At 46.0% G+C, this 17,782-nt stretch overlaps 1 protein-coding gene across 4 annotated transcripts in view, besides 1 other annotated feature; it reads left to right on the top strand.

Annotated features, from left to right (window-relative positions):
• PTPRJ (protein tyrosine phosphatase receptor type J) overlaps nt 1-17,782 on the top strand; it is a 190,281-nt gene that overhangs the window by 94,509 nt on the left and 77,990 nt on the right. The window lies entirely within an intron of this gene.
• Nucleotides 15,534-16,345: an enhancer, noted in NCBI's record as "H3K4me1 hESC enhancer chr11:48112153-48112964 (GRCh37/hg19 assembly coordinates)". NCBI's record gives its function as "activates a minimal SCP1, AML or CMV promoter by ChIP-STARR-seq in primed H9 embryonic stem cells {active_cell/tissue: H9 hESC(primed)}" and the evidence as "EXISTENCE:reporter gene assay evidence [ECO:0000049][PMID:30033119]".

Raw genomic sequence — 17,782 nt, forward strand, 5'->3', positions numbered from 1 at the left:
TATTGAACCTCCAAGATTTTTCTGTCTTTGTTAACAACTAGCAGTTACATGCTAGCATTATTTATTTATTTAGTTAGTTAGTTAGTTAGTTCTTGAGATGGAGTCTCACTCTGTCACCCACGCTGGAGTGCAGTGGCATGATCTCAGCTCACTACAACCTCTGCCTCCTGGGTTCAGGTGATTTTCCTGCTTCAGCCTCCTGAGTAGCTGGGATTACAGGGGCCCGCTACCACGCCCAGCTAATTTTTGTATTTTGAGCATGTTGGCCAGGCTGGTCTTGAACTCCTGACCTTGTGATCCCCCTGCCTCGGCCTCCCAAAGTGCTGGGATTACAGGTGTGAGCCACTGTGCCTGGCCTTATTTATTTATTTTTGAGACAGGGTCTCACTCTATCACCCAGGCTGGAGTGCAGTGGTGCAGTCATAGCTCACTGCAGCTTGGAACTCTTGGGCTGAAGTGATTCTTCTTCCTTAGCCTCCCCAGTAGCTAGGACTATAGTGCCACCATGCCTGGCTAATTTAAATTTTTTTTGTGTGTGTGTGTGTGGTGGAGATGGGTTCTCACTGTGTTGCTCAGGCTGGTCTTGAACTCTTGGGCTTAAGCGATCTTCCCATCTTGGCCTCCCAGAGTGCTGCGATTACAGGCGTGGGCCACCACACCTGTCCTGTGCTAGGCTCTTAACGTCCTTCCCAGATGTTATGTCCCTTCCCTTGGTGGCTGCTGCTTTCTGCCACATTTTACCTTGCCTTTCCGCACCTTCTACCATGTCTCCTTTTCCAGCCTCATTCCCTGAGATGTAGCCGGAGTTCCAGTTCAGCCAACCTGCCCGTTGTTTTCTCTCCTGGAACTGGGTGTTTGAGCCTCCTGCATGGAGTGTTCTTCCTTCCCAGCTAAAGTCCTGGTCATCCCATTTCCATCTGAAAGGCCCCCTTGTTCATGAAGCCTCTCATGGTCCTTCCCCCTACCCCAGCCAGGTATACTTTCTCTCCTCTTGGAATTACCCTATAGGAAGAACATGGTGGCTTGACCTGGGTTCCAGTCTCACCCATCTGTTTACCTGGGGAGTGATCTTGAGTGGGTCAATTTATGTTCTCAGTGCCTTACAAAATGGGGCAGAGGATACCTAACCCCCAGGAGCTGGTGTGGCTGGGGTACCTTACACAGGGCCTGACTGTAGTAGCTTCTCTCCAAGCATTGGTGTCTTACCTCTTCTGTTTCTCTAATGGTGTTTTGCACATTCATTGTTGTATTAGAGTTTGTTTTTTTGTCTTACCTTGTTTTAATAAATTATAATCTTATGGGAGATGACACTGTCTTTTCTTTGTTTCATATATAAAAAGTGTTTTGCTGATATACGTAGAATCAAGTTGGTCTGGAGTTACTCTGGATAAGGGATGAAATCAGGGAGCTCTTGTGTTCAAAGGGGCCTTCTTCCCTTTTTTGGTTCTTTCTCCTCATTTTTTAGCTTCCATTTTTACTTCCTTTAGTATTGAGAAAGTACCAGGCTCACTTCAAAGAGTTGACTTCAAAGCTCCCACCAGCTCAGACATACTTGCCACTGAAGCCTGTAGGAATTGGCATCAATGGAAGACCCTGTGGCGGTTGCATTTAAGATTTTTTTTGGGACTTCTATTTTTATAATTCTTTTAAATGGTAAAGGGGGAGGGTTACAAAATATCTGCGCCTTTAAGATATCAAACATAAGCCAGTGAAGTTCCAAAAAAAAAAAAAAAGATGTCTTAGAGAAATGAAAAGGATTTTACAATTGGTAGAAAAGAACAACTCTTTTTTCTTTTTCTTTTTCTTTTTTTGTTTTTGAGATGGAGTTTCGCTCTTGTTGTACAGGCTGGAGTGCAATGGCGCCATCTCAGCTCACTGCAACCTCCACCTCCCCAGTTCAAGTGATTCTCCTGCCTCAGCCTCCCGAGTAGCTGGGATTACAGGCACGGGCCACTATGCCCGGCTAATTTTGTATTTTAGTAGAGACGGGGTTTCTCCATGTTGGTCAGGCTGGTCTTGAACTCCCGACCTCAGGTGATCCACCTGGCTTGGCCTCCCAAAGTGGTAGGATTATAGGCATGAACCACTGTGCCTGGCCAAGTCTTTTTTCTTTAAAAAAAAAAAGGTTACTTTTACTGTTTTGTCCTAGTTACAAGATCTTAGGACAGAAATAAAGCCTTAACTTGTATGTAACATTTTCCAAGATGGCTAAGTGGAGTTGCAGGTTACATAGCAGAAAACAGAGGCTTGGGCCTGTTGAGACCTCACACCCAGTTCTTCTTGGAGCTGTGGGTGTGGGCTGAAAGAGAAGACAGGGAGATTAAAGACCAGTGATTTCCCTCCATGGACCCTTTGATGCTCTTGTTTGTTGACTTTTTGAGGCTTGGAGTGACCGACTCTTCCAGGAATGAGAAATGGAATCCCTCCCAGTTTTGATGGTCGTCCCAGGACATATTTCCTGAAGGCCTACTCTGTGTCTCAGCACCATTCCAGGACTCCCCCCGACAGCCTTACGGAGCGTGCTACAGTCTTCCTGATCCAATATCCTGCCACCTGCCCACTCATTCACCCTCGGCCCTACCCCATGCCTTTGCACGAATCTTTCCAGCCTGAGCAGCCTGAGATGGGTCTTTTTCCCTGCTCCGAAATCCTGACCTCATAATGGCTCATGAATCCCTATTCAACCTTCAAGACCTGGTTCAAGGGTTAAATCCTTTAAGGAGACTTCTCCTGATTTTTCCCCAGCTGGTTGCTTTGTTCTCCAGCGATTTGTAACCTTGTGAACAAATATTCTACTCATTTTATTCTACTGGAATGATCTATTTACACTTATCTCCCTGCAAATTGTATCCTGCCCTTCAATGGCTAAGTGAATGGCATAAACAGATGCTATAGGAATTGAGACTAAGTTGGAGCTGGGTGATCAGGGAAGGTTTTAAGGAAGAGATCTGGGACAAATAGCTAAAGATGGATTCAGTGTTTTTTTTTTCTTTTTCTTTTTTTTTTTTTGAGGCGGAGTCTTGCTCTGTTTCCCAGGCTGGAGTGCAATGGTGCGATCTTGGCTCACTGCAACCTCTGCCGCCCAGATTCAAGCAATTTTCCTGCCTCAGCCTCCCAGGTAGCTGGGATGACAGGAGCCCACCACCACGCTTGGCTAATTTTGTGTTTTTAGTAGAGACAGGTTTTCACCATGTTGGCCAGGCTGGTCTTGAACTCCTGACCTCAGGTGATCCACCCACCATGGCCTCCCAAAGGGCTGAGATTACAGGCATGAGCCACCGTGCCCGGCCTGATGGATTCAGTTTATGTGCAAAATTTAAGAGGATGGGTTTCGGCAGTTCAGGTTGTTAGGAGACAAGGGTGGAAAGGTGTCCTGGAGCCCTACAGAGATGGGCTTCAAGTGCCAGCCAAGGTGTTTGACCATTTTTAGAAGAGGAATGAGATGATTAAAGTGGAACTTTTAGGAAGAGTAGGAGTGAGCGGGATGGATTTAAAAGGCGGAGTGAGAGGCATCAGGAAGGCTGGGTAGGAGAGCATTGCTACAGTCTAGGAGGGAGGTGGCAGGGGTGTAGACCAGGGATCACAAAGCAATGGCTTGCCATCTGCTTCTGTATACCCAGAGAGCTAAGAATGGTTTGTACCTTATTAAATGGTTGAAAAAATCAAAAGAATATATGCTGTGATATGTGGAAATTCTGTGAAATTCAAATGTCAGTGTCTGTAAATAGTTTTTTTTTTTTTTTTTTTTTTTTGTGGAACACAGCCATACTTTTCATTTATGCATTGTTTGTGGTTGCTTTCACACAATCATGCCAGCCCTGAGTAGTTGCTGCAGAGACCATATGGCCTGCAAAGACTAAAATATGTACTTATGTACTATCTGGCTCTTTCCAGAAAAAATCAGCAGACCCCAGGTGTAGACCAACCAGGGTGAATGAGTGTATGACTGGAAATGCAAAGACGGGCAGGATCAAGGGACAGTTTAGAGCAGGGGTGTCCAATCTTTTGGTTTCCCTGGGCCACACTGGAAGAAGAATTGTCTTGGGCCCCACATAAAATACACCAACACTAACAATAGCTGATGAGCTAAAAAAAAAAAAATCACAAAAAATCTCAAAATGTTTTAAGAAAGTTTATGAATTTGTGTTGGTCTGCATTCAAAGCCATGGTGGGCTGCATGCGGGCCATGGGTTGGCCAAGCTTGGTTTAGAGGCGGATGCAGTACGGGAGAGTTTTCCCTTCTCTTCTGATGTAACTCCATGTCTTGGTGGCGGTGTTCTAGATGTAGGCATCTTTAGGCAGGGGAGTGTGCGTGGAAGGGTGAAAGGGTTGTGCCTTCATGACGCTCGTGTGTGTGTGTGTGTTTGTGTGTGTGAGTGATGCTGAGCTAGTCTTAGAGTAAATGCAGACACTGGATGGTAGCGAGTTCAGTGCAGTTTTTATGGAGGGACAGCTTGCTGCCTGCTGATGAAGCTGGACAAGACTGGGTAGTGAAGTCAAAGGCCCACACCTAACTCTGAGGCTCTTGGGGGCAACTGTGTTGTGCAGAGAAGGTAGGAGGGCAGAGGAAGAGGAGGAGCGGCCCCTGGGAGAATGCCTTCTACCCAGCTGCAGCTTCTCAAGGGTGTGTTTGCGTCTGACCTAAGGTGTTGGAGCTCTTTGTTTCTGGCTGTGTTCAGGCTTTCCCCCGCTTGCCTTTAGGGGAAGCTGATGACTGCTTTAGCGTAAAGAGAGGGCCAGGAGGTCAACTTCCCTACAGTCCCGTGCCTGCTTCTGGGTTGGGGCTGGGGAGAGTGCTGCCCACTGAACTCTCTAAATGTTAAAAGATACAAAGAGGAAGCACAGAGTGAAAAGGGAGACCCCAGAGGACAGCAGAACATCCCGAAGCATATCCCCCATCAGAGAAGAGGCATGATTTTCACCTGGCTTGCAGGTGCAGGATGGGCATCTCAGATGCTGTGAGTCTGAGGGCAGATGCCCATCAGTCCAGGACAGTTCCTGGGGACAAAAGCCTCTTCTCACCTTTAGAGAAATTAAGTCTTATTGGTAGAAAATATTTTAGAGAGGTTCTGGTCTAAGCCTCTCATTTTGCAGATGAGAAACCACCCAAGGCCCAAGATGGATGGATTTATCAAAGCCGGTTGGTACTGGAACTTGGATTTAATTTCAGGTCTTTTATTATTACTATGGAACAAATCTTAACTTTTTCAAGTGCATACCATGTGCCCGGCTATGTGCTGGATGTAGATGCTTTATCTGCAGGTTTAATCTTCACTACAACTATGGGAAGTAGCTATTGTCTCTCTTTTGCAAGTGTGAAGAGTGAGGCTTAGAAAGGCCAACTTGCCTGTGATCGGGTAACTCAAGAGGGAAATTGGATCAGAGTCCATCTGAGACTGACTCCAGAGCCAATGTTCTTAGCCAATAGGGGCACATAAAACTGTTCTGAGTGGCTTCCTAGCTCCTGTTTCCAGTGTCCAATCCATTCTCGGTTTCTGTTCATTCATCAGATGTGCACTGAGTACCTGCAAGAAGTCAGAAGGGTGTTGGGTTGGTGAGGACAGATTGTATACCATCTTGGCTTTGGCCGAGCCAAACAGAATGCCAAAGATCGGCAAAGATAGGGAATGATTGTTCTTGGCCTCAGCTCCACGCTCCCCTCCTCTGTAAAACTGCCCCTGACACCCCGGCAGGATTGAATTCCTCCACCTTTAAGCTCCCAGAGTACCTTAGCTCTGTCTTTAGCACTTCACACTGTGTCATGCCTCCCCTTGGGCCCTAAGGCCAAGAGCATGTGCCATTTATTTTTGTATTCCTACTTCTATAGCCCAGTGCATATTGGGGGCACTCAGGAATTGCTGAGCGAATAAAAGAATGAATGAATACAGACCCAGATTGTCAATGATTCTCAAACCTTATTTTACAAAAGAATCACTTGAAAAGCTGGTTAAAGATCAAAACTCCTGAGCCCTACTCCTGGTGATTGACTCCTAGGTTTGGGGTGGGACCCCAGAATCTGAATTTCCCGGAAGCGCCCAGGTGTTTCTGATGCGGGTGGTCTGCAAACCACACTTGCAGCAACCCTGGCACAGGTGCCCAGCCTTCTGGAATAAAGACAGGAACTAAGCATTAAAAATAGCACGCCATTCATTTGCTTGTGCCGAGCCGCCAAGTGCCCCCTCCTGCCGGCGACAGGTCCGGATGTGGGCCAGTTCTCAGCCCAGGGAAAATGAACAGTGTCTTCTCCGTGGTGCCCAGAACAGTCTGAGTCAGTGGAATGTGCTGGCCAGTCAGGCAGAAGGGAACTTCCACTTCTTTTTTAAAACCTTGGTGGAAACTGTGCTGGCAAGGCAAACAGGGAGGAGAGGAAGCTCCATGTGGGGCTTGGGCTTGGCGGACGACTTGGGGCTGGCCGGACTTTGGGTGGCCGCCGAGGACCATTGCTAAATATGCCCCTTTCGTCCTGAAATAGTCACTTCCCCGGCTGGCTTTTGTGTTGGTCGGTCGCCACAAATGTGTGGCTGTTGTTCAAGGAGGCCTCCTGGGATATAAAAAGAGAGAATGGGGCCAGGCTGCGGCCAGGGCTGTGTAGGAAGACAGGAGAGCTGCCTTTTCTCCTGTCCCACCACGGACTCATTGTAAGATTCAGAGGGAGTGGCTTCTGGGCCCTGGGTTTACTTTTCCATCTGTAAAATGGGTGGGGGGAAGGGGCAGCATCATAAAGCTTCTTTCTTCTCCTGAAAGGGATGTTTTAAGGCCCATGTCAAGATTGAACACAGGGCTCTGTTGTTGGGCTGATGCTACTGATGAAGTCTCAGGAAGCTCGAAGTTTGTAGTTAACTCTTTCAGGGTAGATGTGGTGAATAGTCTCTTGGTATTGTGTTGATGGTGGCCCACTAGAACAGAAGGTCCCAGAGGGCAAGGGCTTGGTCTTTCTTCTTCCTCTCTGTATCCCCACTGTTTAGAACTGGGCTGGGTGCAGAGTAGTCTCCATAAATGTTTATGGGGCCAATATCTCCAAATATTGGCACCTACTAAGCGTCAGTCCCATCTCTCTTTTGTCTTCTTCACAGGTTTAACTTGCTGTTTGAGAAGAGGCGATATGAGGAGCAGGGCATTTTTGGAGGAAGAAACTTTACCTCTGTTTTCAACGTTTCATCCAGTTTCTCTTCTTTTTACTTATTTGGAGACATGGTCTTACTTTGTTGTCCAGGCTGGAGGCTGAAGTGCAGTGGCACAATTATAGCTCACTGCAGCCTCAAAACACCTGGCCTCAAGTGATCCTCCTGCTTTAGCCTCCTGAGTAGCTGGGACCACAGGCTTACACCACCATACCTGGCAAATTTTTTTTTTTTTTTTTTTTGGAGAGGCAGAGTCTTGCTCCGTTGTCCAGGCTGGAGTGCAGTGGTGTAGTCATGGCTCGCTGCAGCCTCTGTCTCCTGGGCTTAAGCCATTCTCCTGCCTCACCCTTTGAGCCTCCTTAATTTTTTATTTATTTATTTTTTTTTTGTAGAGACAGGGTCTCATTATGTTGTCCAGCCTGATATTGCTATTTTTTTTTTTTTAATGGCGATGTAGTAATCTTGCTTTGTTGCCCAGGCTGTTCTGGAACTCCTGGCTTCAGGTGTGTGCCACTGTGCCTGGCCCAGTTGCTCTTTACATGGTGGAATATCAGAGGTTAAAGACTTGGTAAAAATTCATGCGGTGCAATAAACCATGTATTACATAATAGGGGTGACACTTGTTAACTTCTCCCAGGCTCAGTTTCCTCATGTGTAAAATAGGTGAATAGTATCTACCCTCCAGGAGTTGTACAAGGCTCATGTATACATAGTGTATGTGAATGTGCTGTATGGGTGCAAGGGGTTGCAGAAGTGATAATGTGTGTAAACAGATGGTGTGGTTGGCTCATTGGAGGGGTGGAGGCCCTAAGTGAGATGACCTCTGAGGTTTACTCTTCCTAGAGTAGTTGGAAAGCAATTCAGCCTCAGTGGTAAGCTCTCAGCTCTTCTAGGGCAGGTCCCTCTTCCACCACCCTGTGTCTGCAAGCATTTTGGTATTAAGTTGTTTTTCTAAGGCTGGGTGCGGTGGCTCACGCCTGTAATCCCAGCACTTTTGGAGGCCGAGGTGGGTGGATCACCTGAGATCAGGAGTTCGAGACCAGCCTGACCAACATGGTGAAACCATATCTCTACTAAAAATAAAAAATTAGCTGAGCGTGGTGGTGTGCGCCTGTAATCCCAGCCAGCTACTTGGGAGGCTGAGGCTGGAGAATCGCTTGAACCCGGGAGGCGAAGGTTGCAGTGAGCTGACATCATGTCATTGCACTCCAGCCTGGGCAACAAGAGTGAAACTCTGTCTCAAATAAAAAATATTATTTTTCTAAAAAGCTCTTATTTTATTGTGAAACACTTAAATTAGCAAATCTCAGGCTTGCTGAATAAGGCTTCCCAGGCAAACCACATCCCACATGTGCAAATGTCTGGTGACACAGTGCTTCATTTTTTTCCACTAGTACTTACTACTACCTGACATTATAGTGTAAGTTTACTTGTCTATTTGTGTATGGTCTGCCTCTCCTATGAGAATGTGAGCTGCATGAGGTCAGGACATTGTTTTGTTCACTCATGAATTCCCAGCACCCAGGACAGTGTCTGGCATGTAGTGAGTACCCAGTAAATATTTGTGGAATGAATGAATGAATACTTAAGTGGGTGGGAAGTTCTTGGACCTTAGTCTAGACCCATGGTTCTCAAAGAGTGGTCCTGGGACTCTTGGGGATTCCTGAGATCCTTTTAGGGATCTGTGAGGTCTGTGAGGTCAAAGTATTTTTATAATAATAGTAAACTATTTGTCCTTTCACTCTCATTCCCTCATGTATGCAAATCTCAGTGAACTGATATTTTCCAAATAACCAATGCATAAGGCCACAAAGCCATGCAGGGTAAAAAGAGCTATGAACAAAAGTTTTCTAGAGAAGAATTTGGAGGAAAGAGAGTTTATTCTAGTGAACAGATCGCAAACTGGGAGATGCTGCGTTGGTGTAAAATGAAGGTGCATTCCAGAGAGCAAAGAGAGAATCTAGTTTTTTGTTGTTGTTGTTGTTTTGTTTTTTAAATTTTGAGATGGAGTCTTGCTCTGTTTCCCAGGCTGGAGTGCAGTGGAGTGGCGTGATCTTGGCTTATTGCAACCTCTGCCTCCGGGTTCAAGCGATTCTCCTGCTTCAGCATCCCGAGTAGCTGGGACTACAGGCACTTGCCACCACGCCCACACACCCTACTAATTTTTGTATTTTTAGCAGAGACGGGGTTTTACCATGCTGGCCAGGCTTGTCTCGAACTCCTGACCTCAAGTGATCTACCCGCCTCAGCCTCCCAAAGTGCTGGGATTACAGGCATGGCAGAATCTAGGTTTTTATAGCAAAATTTCTGGCCCATGTCCCCAATCAGGTTTGATTATGCAAATGAAGGGGGCGGGTCAAACTTGCTTAGTTCTGATTGGCTGACACAGCTGAGTTCTGATTGGTGATACAGCTGAGCCCTGATTGGTTGATACAGCTGAGCTCTGATTGGCTGAAGCAGACGAGCTCTGACTGCTTGGTTCATGTGAGCTCTGAAAGTCCCAAGTCAAAAGGGTGTGGGGTTTTGTGAAACTTGGAGTACGTAGTGTGACCTCTAGTCAGCAAATGGCCACTTGGCTGTATTTTAAATTTAGGTACACTTTGCTGCTTGGGGTCCATCTTGAGGGGATTGCCTTTTTCAGGTTCATGTTTGTTCACAGAGCCATTCAAAGTGCAGTGGATACATTATAAATTGTACAATTATTTGTAATTAAAAAAAGAACAACAGCAAAAAACCCAAAGTGCAGTGGATGCAAAGACCAATGGATTTTCATGTAACAGAATATGAAAAGTTCACCGACACAGTTTCACATTCCACGATGCAGAGAAGTTTTTAATAACTGCCATCCACATGTTGAGTTTTGGTGTAACAGCAAAGAAAAATATCCACAACTACTGAAAAGGCTGAGAAAATACTCCCTTTCTCAACTGCATGTTTTTGTGTGAGTCCAGAATTTCTTTACATTATTGTAACAGAGTGAACGCAGAAGCAAATATGAGAATCCAGCTGTTTCTTACTAAGCAGACATTAAAGAGATTTGCAAATATCTAAAATAATGCTATCTCTCTCACTTTTTTTTTTTTTTGTATTGGAAACATCATTTTCCATACAATGTCATTTATGTTAACAGGTGACAGATTTATTTATTTTTATTTTTTATTTTTTTGAAACGGAGTTTCACTGTGTCACCCAGCCACCCAGGCTGGAGTGCAATGGTACAATCTTGGCTCACTGCAACCTCCGCCTCCCGGGTTCAAAGGATTCTCCTGCCTCAGCCTCCTGAGTAGCTGGGATTACAGGCACCCGCCACCACACTTGGCTAATTTTTGTATTTTTAGTAGAGACGGGGTTTCACCATGTTGGCCAGGCTGGTCTCGAACTCCTGACCTCAGGTGATCCACCCGTCTCAGCCTCCCAAAGTGCTGGGATTGCGGGCTGGGATTGCGGGCATGAGCCACCATGCCCAACAACAGATTTATTATAAGCAAAAGCTCTTTGGGGTCCTCAATAATTTTAAGAGCATAAAGGAGACCAAAAAGTTTAAGATGTGCTGGTCAAGACAGAGCCCTGTGGACTATGGAAGGGATTGAAGCCATTCTGTGGATCCTATAGGCTTCTTTTCTAAGCGAATGATTAGTGTTTATTCAGTAGCCCTATGTCAGGTGGTTTCTGTATGAATGAGAGGTTTGCCTTTCCAGCTGCGGCGGGGCTTTGGGCAAGTTGCTGTCTCTGTGCTCCTTCGTTTGCTCATGTGTTAAAAACTGGCCCAGGGGTCTGGGGGTGGGGTGGTAAGAAAATGGGTTGAGTCTCCTTCATCTCTAACATTTTCATGTTTAATTCTTGGAACCTCCACTTGTTAGCTCTGTTCACTCCTCTGAAAGAGATTGGTGAGAATTGAAACAGTGAAAGAAGATTTTAGAGAAAAGGTGACATGTAAAGCTGAACAAGGGTTGCCTGTGAGGCAGGCAAAAAGGACATTTATTATATTTAAAAAAAATTTTTTTTTTGAGACGGAGTCTCTGTCGCCCAGGCTGGAGTGCAGTGGCATGATCTCGGCTCATTGCAACCTCTGCCTCCCGGTTCAGCGATTCTCCTGCCTCAGCTTCCCGAGTAGCTGGGATTATAGGCACACACCACCATGCCTGGTTGATTTTTGTAGTTTTAGTAGAGACGGGGTTTCACCATGTTGACCAGGCTGGTCTGGAACTCCTGGCCTCAGGTGATCCACTCGCTTCGGCCTCCCAAAGTGTTGGGATTACAGGCGTGAGCCACCGTGCCCAGCCCAGAAAGGACATTTATATGTGGGGACCACTGCATCTTGCAGATGGGTAAACTGAGGTAGCGACAGGTGAAGGCTCAGTTACATTCATCCTGGGTCCCAGACTGTCTCCAACCTGTAGCCTGAAGCTTTGTTTCCTTCCTCCCTAGCCCAGGATGACAGCAGTGACCTTCCATGGGATCTTTTCCTGGGATTTATTGAGCCACTGAGGTCATTGGCCTCAGGCCACCTGCGTCTCTCGACTGACCAGTTATTCTTCAAGGAAGACACTGTGTGTGTGTGTGTTTTAGTTGCTCTTCTATAACTTCCGGGTGCTCTTCTCAGAGCAGCAGTGCTTTAAAAAATGTCTGTGTGTGTATTTCCCCACTTTGAGCCATGAAATATGTTCAGTCTGTTTTTTTTCTAGTCCAAAGTATTTCCATATCATTGTGCACCTGAGGAAATGCATACTTTGATAGAAAATGGACAAAAAAGTTGTATTGGTAGAATTAAATGAACTAATGCATGTCAAGCACTGAGCACTTTGACTCAATAGTAATAATAATAATAATAACACAATGTATCATTATGATAGTGTTATATCTCTTTAGCAATCTTGATAGTTGACTTGTATAATTCACAGTACAGAAGCTTATTCTAAAACTAAAATGCTTTGGTTCTCCTGTGTGCCAGGAACAGCAGTAAACTTTATGTCCTAAGATTAGTATGGTTGGAAATGCATGTGGCAGTGGTTCCCAAACACTGGTGTGCAGATGGAACACAGCCCGTGAAGTTTTCAGCGGTCCTTGTTAAAAAGAGATAAAGGAAAGAGATAAAGGATAAAGTGCTGAGATTCTCGTGAAGCTAAATGAAGCTAAATAAACATCCTTCAATGAGAATATGTCCTTCCTATAGTTTTTGGAGGAAAATATTTCCTTTTGTGAGACAAAAGTGTTAGTAGGTGGTAAGTACTTTTTATTTAGCATAGTACAAAGTTGTGGCCCTCTGTCAACCCTTCACATTTTGGTGTGTGTAATGTTTGAAACTGCATTGGTCTGTAAAATCCCAAACCCAGGTAGATAAAACCAAGAAGTGACAGGGCTGGAAGGGATCTTAGGAATTAGTTCATAAAGAACTTCAGGCTCAGAGAAGACATGTGAGTTGCCTAAGGTCACACAGCAAATCTGAAGCAAATCAGGGCTAGAAACCCATAGACGATGGTCATGAGCACTGGTTTTGAGTCATCCATTTGAACACACCTGTGTTCAGATTCTACCTCTGTTACTTATGAGCTGATTTCTTACCTGTGAAAGTGGGATACCTACCCAAGGGGTTCACGGGAGGATTTAATAAGATGATTTGGATTAGGAAAAACTGACAAATTTCCCCTTCCTTCTTCTCCCTGCCTTCCCCTCACCTGTTAATAAATAGATCCTTGTGAAAGGTCAGTGAGCAGCATCAGCCAGAAGGGCTTTGTTTTCAGCAAGGTCCCTGCATGTATGATTACAATCCTAAGTAATATCAGCTGTTGCTTGCGTTGGTTTCTCAGCTCTCTCTTGGTGATCTCTCTCTTTAGCTGTTGAATGAGTTCAAAGATCTAGGAAGAGCTTTGAAACCCCTCTAGCAGCATTTCTGTCTCCAGTCCCAGCACAGGTCTTTGGAGGATGAGATAAAAAGGGTTTTGCCCAGGGTCAAATGCTGTGTACACGCTTGGTCACTCTTCCCTTTCTTGAGATGACATGTCCCCTTCTTGGAGACCCAAGATGATTGACAACAATAACATTCCTTTACAACGTTTTCTTCTCATCTAGAGCACTGGGAGGCTGCCTTTTAACAGAGATATCACAGAGTAGCAAGCATGCAGACATTCTCATGACATCCTGGCAGATATCAAGACCAAAGAACATCCCATGTTCCCTCTTGAAGGCTTGTAATAACTGCCATAAATTATCTTGTGGGAATGGAGTGGCCCTGGCCTAAGCTGTGCTGTACCGGACTCTCCTGGTGACAGTTTTAGTGGCTGCATATGTTTGCAGAAGAAGGAAGCGTGGTAACTTGGCAAACAGCTCCAAACGCTCCTGGCTTGCTGCCACAGGATTGTCCTTGAGACTTGGGCACAGTGATGTGTGAAAAATGCCCACCTTTGCTCTTGGTGTCCAGTGGGCCTTCTATGGGCCCTCTATAGAGGTCATCACCTGGGGATTCCTGACTCTGGCCAGGTCCTGAGGTCTTTCCATGTTACTCTCCATGTTACTTGAGTAACATAAGAGCTTCTTATGGCTCTTATGTTCTGCAGGACGGATGAACTAGGTACCCAGGACAGGTCTGTTTGTGCACAAGGCTGTCTCCTTCTCCCCCTCCTTGGTTTTTCTACTGAGGCTTTGTTGTGCTTGGCTCAGGGTGATGTTAGCAAATGCACTCTCCACCCTGCTGTGCCACATTAAGGAAACGCATGTTGTATTGGCTTCTGCCAAGTCAGCTCACATGCTTTGTTTTAGTGACTCTGTGAAGAGCTCATCATCTATTATTTATTCAGGTAACACACTTCTATCTCCTAATTTCGGTGCTACTCCCATTTTTCATCCCCGGTTAGCGTGCTGTGCGCCAGGAGGGCTGCCTGTTGTCTTTAAGAACCACTTTGAACATTTTTGCTTTGGTTATTTATTCATACCAACATGTTGTTGTTAAATGACGTGAAATAAAACCCCATTTTAAAAAGAAATTGTAAAAGGAAGCTATGTCCTGTGTGGAAATCATGACAAGCCCAGAAACATGTTACAAAAACATTAACCAGGAGCGGTGGCTCACGCCTATAATCCCAGAACTTTGGGAGGCCAAGGTGGGCAGATCACTTGAGACCAAGAGTTTGAGACTAGCCCGGGGAACATGGTGAAGCCCATCTCAACTAAAAATACGAAAACTATCCAGGCATAATGGTGCAGGCCTGTGATTCCAGCTACTCAGGAGGCTGAGGCAGGAAAATTGCTTGAACCCGGGAGGCAGAGGTTACAGTGAGCCGATATTGTGCCACTGTACTCTAGCCTGGGCAACGGAGCGAGACTCCATCTCAAAAAAAAAAAAAAAAACAAAAAAAACCCACACACAACAAAAAATAAATATTGCCTGTACCTATCACCTGAGGAGCCCATTGTTAATGGTTGTGTGTCTTTTTAGTCTTTTAAAAAATGTGTTAAAAAATGTAGTTGTCATAATGTCCGTATATAAATTTTTAAGTGGAGTTGATAGATTTCATTTGAAGGGCTGCTGTGTCATAAATGTAAAATGCTTAGCAAGGTGCTTGGCACCTGGAGCTGTTCACAGTAAATGGAAGGAATTTTTATGGAGGGTGTAAGGTAGAGTGGGCTCCTGAGCCAGACTGCCCTGTTCCAGGCCTGGCTCTGCTATATCTGGCTGCTAGAGCCTCGAGCCAGCCATTGAAGTGCAGTGCCTTCATTTCCCCACCTGTAAAATGGGGGTAATTATCATATACCCCAAAGTGCTGTCATAAGGATTTAATGAAATATCCCATGTAAGATCCTTAGAGCACTGCTGCCGGATGGTCATCTCATAGTAGGTATTGGTTGTTATTATTCAGGAAAATGTTGGAAAACACATTTTTAAACAAAGCTGGTGTTCAGTCCCCTCCCTCCCCCCAACCAAGGAAACTCTCTTTAATTCCCAGTCTGCTGTGATTCAGTGCTGGCCTGGGAGCAGCCCTCGAGGGCAGACACAGCACTTGTCCCCTACCCAGCACAGCACCTGCCTGTGCATCCTTAGCTGATGAATGAGGCTCACAGCCCCAGGCGCCCTGCATCCTTCCCTTCTTTCTGGTACCCTCTTTTGTCTCCTCCAAACACTTGCTACTCAGGCTTCAGGGAGGAAGTAGGAAGTAGGAGGTGGTTTCTCCCTCCCAGACCCCCAGCTCACACTGGTCTTGAAGGGCGTGGCATCTGACAGAGCCCGGTGGCTGGTTTTCACGTGTCTCCTGAAGCCACCCCTAAGGAGAAGGCTTCGATGTCATCTTCTGGTCAGAGCCGAGCACAGTGGTCCTCTTCAGAGACAGATCCGTGCAGCAGGATGGCACCTCTGTTGTCCTCCCAGACTAGCAGTAGGTACACGTGGGCTTCGCAGGCTGTTTTCTGCCCTGGAATGCTGCTGTTTTTTAGACCCAGCATACCTCAGTGTCAGAGAAGGCTGGTTTGTTTGAAACGGTCAGAATGTCATAAATACCTTATGATGAACATTTTCCCAATTCGCTTAAATTCGAGAGGCCAGGAGTGTACCTTTCCCTTTCCTGAGAAGAGCATGGGCCACTGGCTTTTCCATCTTTGGTTCTCTCAGGTGCCTGTGCCCTGGAGCTGTCCGTCCCCTGGTCCTGCCCGCCTGGTCCTGTGGCCAGCACTCTCCACTGTGAGTCATTCAGGCCCAGTCCTTGTCCTGGTGGTGCATCTGCCTCATGATGTCAAGCACTGTGGGAAAGGCACCCAGCCTGCCCCACTCCAAAGGATGAGTATGGGGAGGTGGTGGTGCTTCTCAAACCCAAGGCTGTTTGTCATACCACATTCCGAAGACTTCAGATGAGGGCATTTACCTGTTTGCCTAGGAGGGGTTCTTCAATCTGCAATCCAGCAAACCCCTCCTTGATGAAAGGCGGAGGGTGTGTGGGCTTTTAGGGAACAGTTGTGCCCCGAGGAGGAAGGCGGGGCAATGTTAGGAGCCTCTGTGCCTTGGAGCTGCAGGCGAGTTGTCTGGTCTTGGGTGATTCCCTTCCTATGTTTGCATCTCAATTTTCCCTCTTGTAAAATGGAGCTGAGAGCATCCCTTATATCACAGGAATGTCATTAGGATTACTTAAGGTGTTGGAATGTTTCCTGGCCTAGGGGAAGAGCTCAGTAGAAGCTTGCTATTGCCCTAATATCATTACTATCCCAGATATGCATTTTCTTGTTATTTCCCTGTTAGGCGTTAAGTGTGTGAAAGTGTGTGTGTATATTTAAAAGGTCAAAGTAAAATTCTTTAGAACCTTAGGGCAGGATAGCTCTTGTTTAGTTAGGGGTGTTTGGTGACTGCTGGAGAAGTCACCTACCCAGCTGATCTTACAATTACTGTCTGCTTAAAGGCAGCTCTTGACTTGGCCTTCTCTAGGGGAAAAACATGTAGTTTATGCAACTTTTCTTTTCCCTTTCTGCTCTGGATTTGACCTTTTGTTCCTTCAGGTGATTGAAAAAATTCGAAAAGTCACCTGTTTCCTCAGAATTGCTTTAAGACAAGACTAAGTGAACCAACAAGAATGAAGTCAGCTTTTTGGAAATACCTCCCAAGAGGCCTTGCTCTTTATGCAGGACTGTTATTTCAAAGGATGGTGTCCCCTCCCCAACCATAAGAACGATCCAAACCTGTTTTCTGGGGCCCAGAGTTTGCTGAGGATAGGACTGGGCTGAAGCTTTCATTGCTGGTCTGTGGGGTAGAGGTAAGCCTCCCCTGTGAAGCTGGTAGGTTACATGCTTTGGCAACATGAATTGTTATTTCTGGAGTCCCCTGGGTGCTGTTTAGAAATGCAGGTAGGTGGCTGGGTGCGGTGGCTCATGCCTGTAATCCCAGCATTTTGGGAGGCCAAGGCAGGCAGATTACTTGAGCTCAGGAGTTCGAGACCAGCCTGGGCAATATAGTGAAACCCCAACTCTACAAAAATACAAAAATTAGCCAGGGATGGTGGTGCATGCCTGTAATCCCAGCTACTCAGTAGGCTGAGGCAAAAGAATTGCTTGAACCTGGGAGGCGGGGGTTGCAGTGAGCCGACATCGCGCCACTGCACTCCAGCCTGGGCCACAGAGCAAGATTTCATCTCAAAAAAAAAAAAAAAAAAAAAAAGAAAAAGAAAAAAAGAAATGCAGGTAGGTGCTTCTAGCTACTGCTGTGGGATAGCAAGGTAGTTACCAAACTGATAAGGGTAGCATCTTACTTACTGCTGAAAAATTCAGTGTCTTTTTTCTTTTTTTTTGAGACAGAGTCTTGCTCTGTTGCCCAGGCTGGAGTGCAGTGGCGAGATCTTGGCTCACTGCAACTTCTGCCTCTTGGGCTCAAGATATTCTCTTGCTTCAGCCTCCCAAGGAGCTGGGATTATAGGCACTCGCTACCACACCTGGCTAATTTTTGTATTTTTAGTAGAGACAGGGTTTCACCATGTTGGCTAGGCTGGTCTCAAACTCCTGACCTCAGGTGATCCACCCACCTCAGCCTCCCAAAGTGCTGGGATTACAGGCGTGAACTACTGCGCCGGGCTTGAGTTTGACTTTTTGAAAATATTCCACCTATAAGTGAAGTTGTGCAGTGTTTGTCTTTATGTGTTTAGCATATTTCACTCAGCATAATGTCCTCCAGGCTCTGATGGGCACTTGGCTTG

This window comes from Homo sapiens, chromosome 11 (assembly GCF_000001405.40).
Source record: "Homo sapiens chromosome 11, GRCh38.p14 Primary Assembly".
Classification (NCBI taxonomy): Eukaryota; Metazoa; Chordata; class Mammalia; order Primates; family Hominidae; genus Homo; species Homo sapiens.